The sequence below is a fragment of the Homo sapiens genome, chromosome 1 (genome assembly GCF_000001405.40).
Source record: "Homo sapiens chromosome 1, GRCh38.p14 Primary Assembly".
In the NCBI taxonomy this organism is placed as follows: Eukaryota; Metazoa; Chordata; class Mammalia; order Primates; family Hominidae; genus Homo; species Homo sapiens.
Genome location: NC_000001.11, coordinates 1352633 through 1365391, shown reverse-complemented (window position 1 = coordinate 1365391; position 12759 = coordinate 1352633). Strand labels below are relative to the sequence as shown.

The 12759-nt window shown below is 61.4% G+C and overlaps 1 protein-coding gene across 7 annotated transcripts, besides 6 other annotated features; it reads left to right on the top strand.

Annotated features, from left to right (window-relative positions):
• Window positions 1–1850: 1850 nt before the first annotated feature.
• Window positions 1851–12703, top strand: MXRA8 (matrix remodeling associated 8). Of its 7 annotated transcripts, NM_001282582.2 has the most exons (11): window positions 1851–1875; window positions 6845–6936; window positions 8688–8711; window positions 9640–9942; window positions 10047–10148; window positions 10240–10710; window positions 10883–11038; window positions 11160–11199; window positions 11286–11362; window positions 11464–11544; window positions 11763–12701. In NM_001282582.2, the coding sequence occupies exons 2-11, from the start codon at window positions 6888–6890 to the stop codon at window positions 11786–11788; spliced, it is 1329 nt and encodes a 442-aa protein (NP_001269511.1). In that variant the 5' UTR covers window positions 1851–1875; window positions 6845–6887; the 3' UTR covers window positions 11789–12701.
• Window positions 6704–6823: a silencer, noted in NCBI's record as "silent region_65". NCBI's record gives its function as "represses an Ori minimal core promoter by ATAC-STARR-seq in GM12878 lymphoblastoid cells {active_cell/tissue: GM12878}" and the evidence as "EXISTENCE:reporter gene assay evidence [ECO:0000049][PMID:35858748]".
• Window positions 7154–7736: an enhancer, noted in NCBI's record as "H3K27ac-H3K4me1 hESC enhancer chr1:1293036-1293618 (GRCh37/hg19 assembly coordinates)". NCBI's record gives its function as "activates a minimal SCP1, AML or CMV promoter by ChIP-STARR-seq in primed H9 embryonic stem cells {active_cell/tissue: H9 hESC(primed)}" and the evidence as "EXISTENCE:reporter gene assay evidence [ECO:0000049][PMID:30033119]".
• Window positions 8324–8876: an enhancer, noted in NCBI's record as "H3K27ac-H3K4me1 hESC enhancer chr1:1291896-1292448 (GRCh37/hg19 assembly coordinates)". NCBI's record gives its function as "activates a minimal SCP1, AML or CMV promoter by ChIP-STARR-seq in naive H9 embryonic stem cells {active_cell/tissue: H9 hESC(naive)}" and the evidence as "EXISTENCE:reporter gene assay evidence [ECO:0000049][PMID:30033119]".
• Window positions 10001–10631: an enhancer, noted in NCBI's record as "H3K27ac-H3K4me1 hESC enhancer chr1:1290141-1290771 (GRCh37/hg19 assembly coordinates)". NCBI's record gives its function as "activates a minimal SCP1, AML or CMV promoter by ChIP-STARR-seq in naive H9 embryonic stem cells {active_cell/tissue: H9 hESC(naive)}" and the evidence as "EXISTENCE:reporter gene assay evidence [ECO:0000049][PMID:30033119]".
• Window positions 10632–11263: an enhancer, noted in NCBI's record as "H3K27ac-H3K4me1 hESC enhancer chr1:1289509-1290140 (GRCh37/hg19 assembly coordinates)". NCBI's record gives its function as "activates a minimal SCP1, AML or CMV promoter by ChIP-STARR-seq in naive H9 embryonic stem cells {active_cell/tissue: H9 hESC(naive)}" and the evidence as "EXISTENCE:reporter gene assay evidence [ECO:0000049][PMID:30033119]".
• Window positions 11264–11895: an enhancer, noted in NCBI's record as "H3K27ac-H3K4me1 hESC enhancer chr1:1288877-1289508 (GRCh37/hg19 assembly coordinates)". NCBI's record gives its function as "activates a minimal SCP1, AML or CMV promoter by ChIP-STARR-seq in naive H9 embryonic stem cells {active_cell/tissue: H9 hESC(naive)}" and the evidence as "EXISTENCE:reporter gene assay evidence [ECO:0000049][PMID:30033119]".

Here is a 12759-nt window from a genome sequence, read left to right as displayed (position 1 = left end):
AAGTGGTAGGATTACAGGCATGAGCCACCATGCCCAGCCTTATTTTTGTTTTTTATTTTGTTTTTGAGACAGAGTTTCACTCTTGTTCCCCAGGCTGGAGTGCAATGCTGCAATCTTGGCTCACCTCAACCTCCATCTCCCAGGTTCAAGCGATTCTCCTGCCTCAGCCTCCCGAGTAGCTGGGATTACAGGCGTGCACCACCATACCCGGCTAATTTTTGTATTTTTAGATGGGATTTCTCCATGTTGGCCAGGCTGGTCTTGAACTCTCGACCTCAGGTAATCCGCCCCCACTCAGTGTCCCAAAGTGCTGGGATTACAGGGGTGAGCCACCACGCCTGGCTTTTTTTTTTTTAATATAGAGTCTCACTCTGTCACCCAGGCTAGAGTGCAGTGGTGTGATCTTGGCTCACTGCAACCTCTGCCTCCTAGGTTCAAGAGATTATCCTGCCTCAGTCTCTTGAATAGGTGGGATTACAGGCATATGCCACCATCCCCAGCTAATTTTTGTATTTTTAGTAGAGATGGGGGTTTCACCATGTTGGCCAGACTGGTCTCGAACTCCTGACCTCAGGTGATTTGCCTGCCTTGGCCTCCCAAAATGCTGGGATTATAGGGGTGAGCCTGGCCTTATTTTTTTATTTTTGACTGGGTCTTGCTATATTGTCCCGCCTGGTCTCCATAATCCTGGGCTTAAACCTCCTGCCTCCACCTCCCAAAGTGCTGGGATTATAGGAGTGAGCCACCGCACCCAGCCGATTTTTCTATCATAATTGCGTACATCAAATTTGTAATTATAACCAAGGTAGAAATGTTACATGTAACAGCCGACCTCCCTTGGTGAGGAGGGAGAAGCCACCACGGAGGATCCAGGATGTGCATTCCATGTGGCAGCCGTGGCCTGGCCCTCGCCTGAGGCTGGTGTGACAGCTGCCCTAAGACGTGCCCAGCCGGGAAGGGAGGCGGATGCAGAGTCCCAGAGGTGGAGTCTGACCCTGCAGGTGGAGCCACCGCAGGTAACTGGCAGCACTCAGTGTTCTTTGTTCCCGATTTTAAAATTGATCAGGCATGGTGTCTCACACCTCTAATCCCAGAACTTTGGGAGGCCGAGGTGGGTGGCTCACGAGGTCAGCAGTTCGAGACTAGCCTGGCCAACACATTGAAACCCCGTCTGTACTAAAAATACAAAAATTCGCCGGGCGTGGTGGCTCATGCCTGTAATCCCAGCACTTTGGGAGGCTGAGGCAGGTGGATCACAAGGTCAGGAGTTTGAGACCAGCCTGACCAACATGGTGAAACCCTGTCTCTACTAAAAATACAAAAATTAGCTGGGTGTGGTGGTGCACACCTGTAATCCCAGCTACTCCAGAGGCCGAGGCAGGAGAACTGCTTGAACCCGGGAGGCGGAGGTTGCAGTGAGTCGAGATTGCGCCACTGCACTCCAGCCTGGGCGACAGAACGAGACTTCATCTCAAAAAAAGAGAAAAAAAGCCGGGTGCAGTGGCTCACGCTTGTAATCCCAGCACTTTGGGAGGCTGAGGCGGGTGGATCATGAGGTCAGGAGATCAAGACCGTCGTGGCTAACACGGCGAAACCCCGTCTCTACTAAAAAAAATACAAAAAATTAGCCAGATGTGGTGGCGGGCGCCTGTAGTCCCAGCTACTCGGGAGGCTGAGGCAGGAGAATGGCATGAACCCAGAAGGTGGAGCTTGCAGTGAGCAGAGATTGCGCCACTGCTCTCCAGCCTGGGCAACAGATCGAGACTCCATCTCAAAAAAAAAAAAAAAAATTAGCCAGGCGTGGTGGCGGGCACCTGTAATCCCAGCTACTCGGGAGGCTGAGGCAGGAGAATAGCTTGAAACTGGAAGGCAGAGGTTGCGGTGATTCTGAGATTGCACCACTGCTCTCCATCCTGAGCAAAAGAACAAAACTCTGTCTCAAAAAAAAAAAAAGAAAAAACTGATGGATCTCGCCTGTAATCCCATTGCTTTGAGAGGCCGAGGATCGCTTGAGGCCAGGAATTTGAGGCTGCAGTGGGCCAAGATGTTTGCACCACTGCCCTTCAGCCTGGGTGACACAGTGAGACCCTGTCCTTTTGTTTTGTTTTTGAGACCGAGTCTCACTCTGTCGCCCAGGCTGGAGTGCAATGGCACAATCTCGGCTCACTGCAACCTTTGCCTCCCAGGTTCAAGCAGTTCTTCTGCCTCAGCCCTTGGAGTAGCTCGGACTACAGGTGCACACCACCACACCCGGATAATTTTTGTATTTTTAGTAGAGATGGGGTTTCACTCCTTTCTTTTTTTTTTTTTGAGACGGAGTCTCGCCCTATCACCAGGCTGGAGTGCAGTGGTGCAATCTCGGCTGACTGCAACCTCCATCCCCCAGGTTCAAGTGATTCTCCTGCCTCAGCCTCCCAAGTAGCTGGAACTACAGGCACCTGCCACCACGCCTGGCTAATTTTTTGTATTTTTAGTAGAGACGGGGTTTCACCATGTTGGCCAGGATGGTCTCCATCTCTTGACCTTGTGATCCACCCACCTCGGCCTCCCAAGGTGCTGGGATTACCGATGTGAGCCACCGCGCCCAACCCTTTTTTTTTTTTTTTTTTTTGAGATGGAGTCTCACTCTGTTTCCCAGGCTGGAATGCAACGGCACGATCTCGGCTCACTGCAACCTCCACCTCCCGGGTTCAAGTAATTCTCTTGCCTCAGCCTCCCAAGTAGCTGGGACTACAGGCACCTGCCACCACGCCTGGCTAATTTTTTGTATTTTTAGTAGAGACAGGGTTTCACCATGTTGGCCAGGATGGTCTTGAACTCCTGACCTCAGGTGATCTGCCCACCTTGGCCTCCCAAAGTGCTGGGATTACAGGCGTGAACCATCTTGCCTGGCCGAGACTTTGTGGCTTAAAAAAAAAAAATTACAGAAGGTGGCCCTGGGGCCTAAGGTCATGATTCCGGGGCGATGTGTGTGTACCAGGCAGCCCGTCTCACTGCATTTGCATGTTTAGAACAAGCCAGATACTACTCGAGAGGAGGCAGATGATTTGTGAAATGTTTCTGTATTTTCAAACCTTCTTGCCTGTAGTTTTGAGTCTCAGTGCAACAATTATGCTTCACCCCATCTCAGCAGTGTCCTGACTCTGTTGTCCAGGAGGAGGAGACAGTGGTGGTGGAGGGCAGCTCTCCTCTTCCGGGCCTTCCGACAACCGATCTGGGATCCACAGACAGCCCTGCCTCCTCGGGGCTGCAGGAGGAGGGACCAACACGAATGCAGGCCATGGCTGCCGGGGACGCTGGTCAGGATCAGCAGGAAAACAGTCAGCCAGGGACATGGCCGGGAACAGTCGCCACAAGCGGCTATAACGGATTAACACATTTTCTTTTGTTTTTGATAAACAAGTTTACTTGTAAATTTAGTCAGCATACATAACTAACCAAAACTTCAATATATCTTGAGACCCCCTTGGGGGGCTGTCTCCATAAAAGTGACTTTCCCAGGAGAGTGACTGGATGTGATTGGCCAACACCGTCTTAGCCCGCAGGGGTTCCTGGTGCCGAAGCCTCACGTCCCTCCCCACAGCGAGTTTTCAGAATCCAAAGGCCGTAGGAGAAAGAAGGCTGGCGGTGTTTCCTCTTAGAGGGGAGAAACTCAGCCTGGGTAGGAGACCCAGCCCCACGCAGGGAAAACTGTGCTAACGCTTCCGATGTGCGTGGCAGGTGCGGCGGCGGCGAATACGGTTTGTCCTCGAGCCTAACCCTGTCTGTGTTGGTGTCAGCAGTGGCCCCCCTACCACACACACAGGGTCCCTGGCGTCCCAAGACCACTCCTGGCAGCCCCGCCACTGGCTGCGCCTGGAAGCCGCGTCCTCAGGCCTCGCCTGGCATTTGCTGTCACAGAGGTTGCTTCCTTGGGTCCGTCCGTCCTCGCCCCTCCAGCCTGGGCGCCCCCCGACCCCTGTCTCATTCCCTCCACCACATGCAGCACAGTCCAGGAGGCTGGGGTCCAAGAGGGCCATGGCTGGCACCCGGCTTAGTGCTGAGTCCCCAGTGCCCAGCAAGCCTGGCACCCAGGAGGTGGTCAGCAAACGCTTCTGAACGACAGGAAGTGGGACTCTTCAGCCATCGATGATCCGCTGTGCGGCCACAGGTCCGTGTCTCTGTGTGTGTCTTTCCATGTGTGTCTGTGTGTGTCTCTGTTTCTGTGTGTGGACCTGTGTCTGTGTGTTTGTGTTTCCGTGTATCTTCTCTGTGTGTCCGTGTGTCTTCATGTGCATGCATGCGTGTCTCCATGTGTGTCGTGTGTGCGCATGTCTGTGTTCGTGTTTCCATGTATCTGTGTCTCCGTGTCTTCATGTGCATGCATGTGTATGTGTCTGTGTCTTCGCGTGTGTGCATGTGTCTGTGTTTCCGTGTATCTCTGTGTGTCTCCGTGTCTTCATGTGCATGCGTGTCTGTGTCTCCATGTGTCTTCGTGTGCATGCGTGTGTATCTCTGTGTGTCTCCATGTGTGTCTTTGTGTGTGTGTGCATGTGTCTGTGCACACTCATGGGAGTGAATATGGGCTTGGCTGTGCTGCTTGTGGCTCTGAGTGCCTGTGGTTTTTCTTCCCAATGAGACGGGCTGCCTGGAATGTCCGAGTCACCAGGAATGGCAGCCAAGATCAGATCCTCAGTGCGGGCCGTGGGGCCAGCTGACCCCTCTTGCTCCACCCCAACCCCCAGAGGTGGGGCTAGGAGGACGGTCCAGGGCGCTGGTTTGGCTGGGGGCTTAGCCAGAGCACAGTGATGCCAGTGGCTTTGTCCTGGTTTGTCCTCTTCCCAGAGGGAGAAAAATGCCAGGCCAGGCTGGGAATTAAGTCACACACCCACAGCTCTGCAGACCACCCCCCAGCGAGCAGAGGCTCCACAGTCCCAGCCCAGGAAGGTGCAGAAGAGGCACAGGTCACTGGCCCTGGGAGGAGCAGGTGACCTGGTCACTACCAGGCCTGCTCTTCTCTGTGGCTGTTTCCCACTGAGGGCCGGACAGGGAGGGTCAGGGAAGGGGCCTGATGGCCTCATCAGCCTTTTGTTCCTTGCCCAGGGCCCCATGGGGGTCAGCTGCCCCCAGGTGGCCCTCTCAGAGGTCAGGGCCCTCTCAGACGACAGCCTCTGGCCTGCATCTCCGCTGGCTGGGTCCCCGAAAGTGTGGCTGGAGGCCACTGCCCGGAGAGGGACGGCCCTGCAGAGTGAGGCGAGCCCTGGCCTGAGGCTGTCGTGCGGACCAGGCGCCCCTCTCAGCCCTGCACCCAGAGCCGGGCCCTCCCAGACCCGAGGGCCAACCCTGTCCCCCCACCAAACTGCTGTCCGTCCTCCCTCCATGGGGAGAGAGGGAACAGGGAGAGTGACGGAAGGAGACAGAGACTGCAGAGGCCAAGGCCCCAGAGTGTGCGACGGAGACAGACATGGGCGGGCGGGCAGCTGCCAGCACTAATACAAACCAGTTGGAAAAACAGGAGGAGAGGCCAGCAGAGGCCTCGAGGCCAGCCAGGTGGGGCTTGTTTTTCCAGAATGAAAGGCCCAGGGAGGGAGTGGGGGTGGCGGGATGTGTTCAGCCCTGAAGCCAGTTTGGAAAGGTCGCCGCCCGGGCCAGGACCCTGCTGAGGAAATGGGTCTGACCGGGCTGGGGTGGGGTGGGGTCTTCTGTCCTTACGCCGGTCCGTGTCCTGCCCGTTCCTCTCACTGGAGCAGCCGCAGGTTCCCCTCCCCTCGCCCTGAGACCACCACTCTGATCTGCACTGGGCTTCCCACTGTCTGAGGACTTGGGCACCAGAGCAGGGTTCAGGGGTGAGCCCCCCACCCAGCTGGGGCCCTCGGGGCCTGTAAGGAGAGCTCACTCCAAGTGGGCGGGCGGAACTATGCACTGAGGGTTTCTAGTGGTTGTGGTTGTTCAGATTGTTTTTTCTTGAGGTTTGCTTGATTAGAAGGAGTTGGGTTTGCTACACAGTGCAGGCTGTTATTTCGCATTTGTTTATGTGACTTTGTAAGTTTTCCCACAGTTTCAAATTTGTGCCTTCCATGGCAGGGGTCCCACTCTCCCCTTTCTCCAGGAGGCTTGTAATCCAGCACCTGGTTTCAGGGACACCAGGCTGCACCCTAAAGGCGGGCAGCCCCAGGGGACGGGGCCAGCAGGGAGAGGTCTGCTCACCCCAGCACCCCCAGGCCTCCCAGTGCTCAGGGTCCCCTGTCCCTGGCTGACTCTCCAGGTTGTAAAGGGGACTAGTGACTGGCAGCGTCCATCATCCTGGCCCAAGGGAGCCCACCGTGGCCCCCAGAGGAGACGGGTACCAAGGTCATGCAGGGCCAAGGGTTGGAGCTGGAAGGGCCATCTGGTCTGAAGGAGAGCACCAGCGTGCACCGTGGGTGGGGGCGGTCTCAGCGCTGGGAGGCCTTTCTGGGGCCTGGAGCAGACTGAGGGGAGGACCCTGCCCTGAGGTGGCTCACGTGGGGGGAGGCCAGAGGTGGGGCGGAGGGGCCACTCACCCAACAGTCCCAACCCTTCACCACAGGCCCGGGAGGCTCCTAGACGTGAGACACGATCACGTGGTATCAGGGGCCCATGTCCTCGGACCTTCTTGTCCCTCCAAGGGTGCGGTCACCACCCCTCCCCAGGCCTGACCGGTGAGGGGCTGGGCCTCTGCTCCCACACTGCCCCTCCCCAGCAGGCCAGCAACGATGGGGGAGGCCAAGGGGCCCGGCAGGAGCCAGAGGGGGCGGTCCCCAGACCGTAGACAGGCCCAGGCCTCCGTGATGTCACCGCGGGTGCTAAGGAGGGGGAGGGGGTAGGGCTGTTTTTCTGGAGAGAGACTTAGAGCCGAGTGGGACAAAGCCTGGGGCTGGGCGGGGGCCATGGCGCTGCCATCCCGAATCCTGCTTTGGAAACTTGTGCTTCTGCAGAGTGAGTGTGGGGCCCTGGGAGGCGGGTGGGGGGTGGCACGTGGGGCTGTGCGAGTCCGTTTCGGACAAAACCGCCCATCTGAGCTTGGGCCAGGAGGAGTGGGAAGGTCCCACCAGGGAAGAGGACGGGTCTGGGGGCGCTCGGGAGAGCCGCTTGCCAGAGGCTGTGACGTCTTCAGTTAGACTTTGGCCAGCCTCCCCTCCTAGGGAGTTGAAGCCCAGAGGGCCAAGAAGGGCTGGGGGCCCAGGCACGGCGGCGTCTCCCTCGGGGCCCCTCCTGCAGCCCCTCTTGCTGGGGCTCTGTTTAGGGAGTGGGTCAGTGATTGAAGGGGACCTGAGAACTGTGGGGTCTGTTCCAGCCCCCGCTCCCAGGCCTGGGCTGGCTGCTGACCGGGCACATTCCTCTGGGAAGCTCCCAGGCTCTCGGCCACATCTCTGGGGCAGTTTTCACATAGGATCTATGTGAGGGAGAGCAGCCCCCAGTGATCTAGAGACACAGGATAGAAACAGCTTTTATCACCCACGGGCCCTGGGGTGCACAGACTGCTGGGAGGCCAGGGAAAGTGGAGAGAGACAGGGACCCCCAGGCCAACCCTTTATTGGGATCAGGGCGTTCTGCATACAGGTTTCCCTCAGGGAATTTTTTTGGAGGCAGTTTCTCTCTCGCCAAGGAGGCTGCAGTGCAGTGGCGTGATCTCGGCTCACTGCAACCTCCACCTCCCGGGTTCAAGTCATTTTCTTGCCTCGGCCTCCCAAGTAGCTGGGACTATAGGCGCCCACTACCACCCCGTCCGGCTAATTTTTTGTATTTTTAGTACAGATGGGGTTTTTCATATTGGCCAGGCTGGTCTTGAATTCCTGACCTCAGGTGATCCACCTGCCTTGGCCTCCCAAAGTGCTGGGATTACAGGCGTGAGCCACCATGCCTGGTGGGGGAGTTTTAACTGGTGGGTTTAAGGCAAGCGGCACGAGCCCCGTGGGGCCACGCTGACTGTGGGGGGACTCCGTGGTGCAGCTGCACAGTCCATGTGGGGCGTGGGGTCTGTGGGGACACAGGGGGTGGTCACCAGGGGACAGTGCGTAGGGCGGGCGTCTGGGTGGATCAGCTCGAGGACGGGGGATGTGAATTGGAAACTGTCCCGGGTGGCAGCCCCGCTTCCGGTCAGAGAAAGTCCAGCCTAGATTCAGAGTGGATGCCGAGGCGGCCTACGACAATGAGAGTCCCTCAAGCAGCAACGCGGGCCTGTGGGGCGGCAGCCGGGGTCACGACCCACATTCAGCCTTCAGGCCTCTGCCCTGCGGAAGCACCTCAGGGGCTGCGCTGAGCCTTAGGTGTGGTGTGGGGTCCCCAGCGTCTGAGGGTCCAAGGACCCTCGGGGGCTGGGGCACAGCCCTGGAGGGAGCGTGGGGGAACCCACAGATCCAGCCTCCTTGGTGCTCTGGGTGACTTGGGTGCAGCCAGGTGGAGTGGCCCCGGTGACAAGCACACACCCCAGAACCGGCTGGCTTGGAGCCTGGCCCTGGCCCACGCCCATGCCCTGGCTTCCCCACTCAAGGGCAGGTGCCATCCAAAGCCCAGCACGGTGGCAGGGAGGGCTATGTAGGTCTGTGTGAGAGGCGTCCTCCCTGCACTGAAGTGGGTGTCACAGCATCCACTTTGGGACTACAGGAGGGACTCTGGGGGCCAAGTGGGGGGTCTCGGGGCTGGGTGGGGCTGTGGGTGGCCTCTCCAGCTCACTCCTCTCCTTCCAGGCTCTGCTGTTCTCCTGCACTCAGGTTAGTGACCCCAGCCCCAGCTGCCCACCCCCACTCCCCCTCAGCCCCTCCTATCTTGCCAGGCCCAGCCCCCGGGGGTCCTCAGGCCCTGCCCCTCCCCCACTGATTCCCCCTTGCTCATCAGGACCCTTGGGCACCTCCCCTTGCCAATAACTCCCCCTCCCCCAATGACTCCTCTTCCCCTACCAGGGCCCTTGGGGGCCTGGCCCTCCCCCACAGACTCCCGCACACCCACCAGGGCCCTCGGGGGCCCACCCCTCCCCCACAGATGCCCCCACTGACTCCCCTTCCCCAACCAGGGCCTTCGGGGTCTGCCCCTCCCCTACTGAGTCCCCTTCCCCACCAGGGCCCTCGGGGCCCACCACTCCCCCATGGACTCCCCATCCCCCACTAGGGTCCTTGGGCCCCATGTCTCCCCGACTGACTTGCCCTCCCCCATGGACTCCCCCTCCCCTGCCAGGGCCCTCGGGGGTCCACCACTCCCCCAATGATTCCCCTTCCCCCACATGGGCCCTAGGGGGCATGCCCCTCCCCCATGGAATCTCCCCCACCACGAGGGGCCTCAGGGGCCCACACCCCCCCAAAGATGCCCCCAACCCCGCCAGAGTCCTTGGGGCACACCCCTCCCCCAGTTACTCCTCCTCCTCCACCAGGGTCCTCAGAGCCCGCCCCTCCCCCACTGATTCACCCTCCCCCATCAGGACCATCAGGGTCCGCCCCTCCCCCAGTGACTCCCCCTCCCCTATCCAGGCCCTCGGGGGTCTGCCCCACCCCACGGACTTCCCCTCCACCACCAGGGCCCTCTGGTCCTGCCCGTCCCTTACAGACATCCCTCCCCCACCAGGGCCCTGCCCCTCCCCCACTGACTCCCCCAACCAGGGCCCTAGGGGGCCCACCCCTTCCCCCACCGACTCCCCTCCCCCACCAGGGTCCTCGGTACCCGCCGCTGCTGGCAGCTCCGTGGTGTCCGAGTCCGCGGTGAGCTGGGAGGCGGGCGCCCGGGCGGTGCTGCGCTGCCAGAGCCCGCGCATGGTGTGGACCCAGGACCGGCTGCACGACCGCCAGCGCGTGCTCCACTGGGACCTGCGCGGCCCCGGGGGTGGCCCCGCGCGGCGCCTGCTGGACTTGTACTCGGCGGGCGAGCAGCGCGTGTACGAGGCGCGGGACCGCGGCCGCCTGGAGCTCTCGGCCTCGGCCTTCGACGACGGCAACTTCTCGCTGCTCATCCGCGGTGCGGGGACCGGGGACCGGGGCCGCGGGGTCGGGGCAGGGGTCCGGGGCCGCGGGGTCGGGGGCACCGCAAGGCTCACGCGCGGCTTCCTCCTGGGTGCGCAGCGGTGGAGGAGACGGACGCGGGGCTGTACACCTGCAACCTGCACCATCACTACTGCCACCTCTACGAGAGCCTGGCCGTCCGCCTGGAGGTCACCGACGGCCGTGAGTGCTTCCCCCCCGCCCCCCAGCTCCCGCCCCTCGACCCTCGACCGCCGCCCCGGCCCGCGCGCCGCTGACCGCGCCCCCTCCGCAGCCCCGGCCACCCCCGCCTACTGGGACGGCGAGAAGGAGGTGCTGGCGGTGGCGCGCGGCGCACCCGCGCTTCTGACCTGCGTGAACCGCGGGCACGTGTGGACCGACCGGCACGTGGAGGAGGCTCAACAGGTGGTGCACTGGGACCGGCAGCCGCCCGGGGTCCCGCACGACCGCGCGGACCGCCTGCTGGACCTCTACGCGTCGGGCGAGCGCCGCGCCTACGGGCCCCTTTTTCTGCGCGACCGCGTGGCTGTGGGCGCGGATGCCTTTGAGCGCGGTGACTTCTCACTGCGTATCGAGCCGCTGGAGGTCGCCGACGAGGGCACCTACTCCTGCCACCTGCACCACCATTACTGTGGCCTGCACGAACGCCGCGTCTTCCACCTGACGGTCGCCGAACCCCACGCGGAGCCGCCCCCCCGGGGCTCTCCGGGCAACGGCTCCAGCCACAGCGGCGCCCCAGGCCCAGGTGAAGGAGGCCTCCCTGGGACCCGGGAAGGCGGGAGCCCACCCCACCGGGGGTTGCTCTGCGCCCGCTGTCCCTTGCCCGAGGCCCGCGGATCCCAGCGGGGGCCGTGGCCCGGGTCGGGGCGCAGGTCTTGCTGGTACCTGACGCCGCCCCGACCCCGCGTTCCCCGCAGACCCCACACTGGCGCGCGGCCACAACGTCATCAATGTCATCGTCCCCGAGAGCCGAGCCCACTTCTTCCAGCAGCTGGGCTACGTGCTGGCCACGCTGCTGCTCTTCATCCTGCTACTGGTCACTGTCCTCCTGGCCGCCCGCAGGCGCCGCGGAGGTGAGGCTGCCCCGGCAAAGCCAGCGGCCCCAGGAGACTGAGGTGGGCGGGAGGGTGGTCCTCTGGGCTGGGGGACCTGCGGAAGGGGCGGCACTGCCCCCAATGTGAGTCTCCTTCCCAGGCTACGAATACTCGGACCAGAAGTCGGGAAAGTCAAAGGGGTGAGTGCCCCCCTCCCGGCCCTCCTGGGGACCAGGGCCCCCTTCACCCCACCCAGCTGTAACCTCCTCCCACCCTCGCCATCCAGGAAGGATGTTAACTTGGCGGAGTTCGCTGTGGCTGCAGGGGACCAGATGCTTTACAGGAGTGAGGACATCCAGCTAGGTGAGGCAGTGCTGGGACACGAGGGCACAGGCGCGGCTCCCAGTCCCGGGCTGGGAAGTGCATCCTGGGAGCGGGGACCTCAGCCTCCTCTCCTCCCACAGATTACAAAAACAACATCCTGAAGGAGAGGGCGGAGCTGGCCCACAGCCCCCTGCCTGCCAAGTACATCGACCTAGACAAAGGTGAGCGGCGGGGGCGACCTCAGCCCATCTCAGAGCCCTGCCTGTCCCCATTCCACCTCACCTGGGACCAACGATGGCAGGCACCAGCCAGGCCCGGGGCCCCTGCCACCTCAGGCTCAGAAATCCCTGGGGAGTCCTGCGGGGGGGTCTGCCCTGTGTCTCCCACTGTGATGAGGGTGGAGGACAGCCGCCAACCCGTTGGCGCCCTTGGCTTCCAGGGTTCCGGAAGGAGAACTGCAAATAGGGAGGCCCTGGGCTCCTGGCTGGGCCAGCAGCTGCACCTCTCCTGTCTGTGCTCCTCGGGGCATCTCCTGATGCTCCGGGGCTCACCCCCCTTCCAGCGGCTGGTCCCGCTTTCCTGGAATTTGGCCTGGGCGTATGCAGAGGCCGCCTCCACACCCCTCTCCCAGGGGCTTGGTGGCAGCATAGCCCCCACCCCTGCGGCCTTTGCTCACGGGTGGCCCTGCCCACCCCTGGCACAACCAAAATCCCACTGATGCCCATCATGCCCTCAGACCCTTCTGGGCTCTGCCCGCTGGGGGCCTGAAGACATTCCTGGAGGACACTCCCATCAGAACCTGGCAGCCCCAAAACTGGGGTCAGCCTCAGGGCAGGAGTCCCACTCCTCCAGGGCTCTGCTCGTCGGGGGCTGGGAGATGTTCCTGGAGGAGGACACTCCCATCAGAACTTGGCAGCCTTGAAGTTGGGGTCAGCCTCGGCAGGAGTCCCACTCCTCCTGGGGTGCTGCCTGCCACCGAGAGCTCCCCCACCTGTACCACCATGTGGGACTCCAGGCACCATCTGTTCTCCCCAGGGACCTGCTGACTTGAATGCCAGCCCTTGCTCCTCTGTGTTGCTTTGGGCCACCTGGGGCTGCACCCCTTGCCCTTTCTCTGCCCCATCCCTACCCTAGCCTTGCTCTCAGCCACCTTGATAGTCACTGGGCTCCCTGTGACTTCTGACCCTGACACCCCTCCCTTGGACTCTGCCTGGGCTGGAGTCTAGGGCTGGGGCTACATTTGGCTTCTGTACTGGCTGAGGACAGGGGAGGGAGTGAAGTTGGTTTGGGGTGGCCTGTGTTGCCACTCTCAGCACCCCACATTTGCATCTGCTGGTGGACCTGCCACCATCACAATAAAGTCCCCATCTGATTTTTAGACTTGTCCCAGGTATGCTTCTGAAACTCCGTCTCCTGGGGCTGGGCAAGGCATGAGT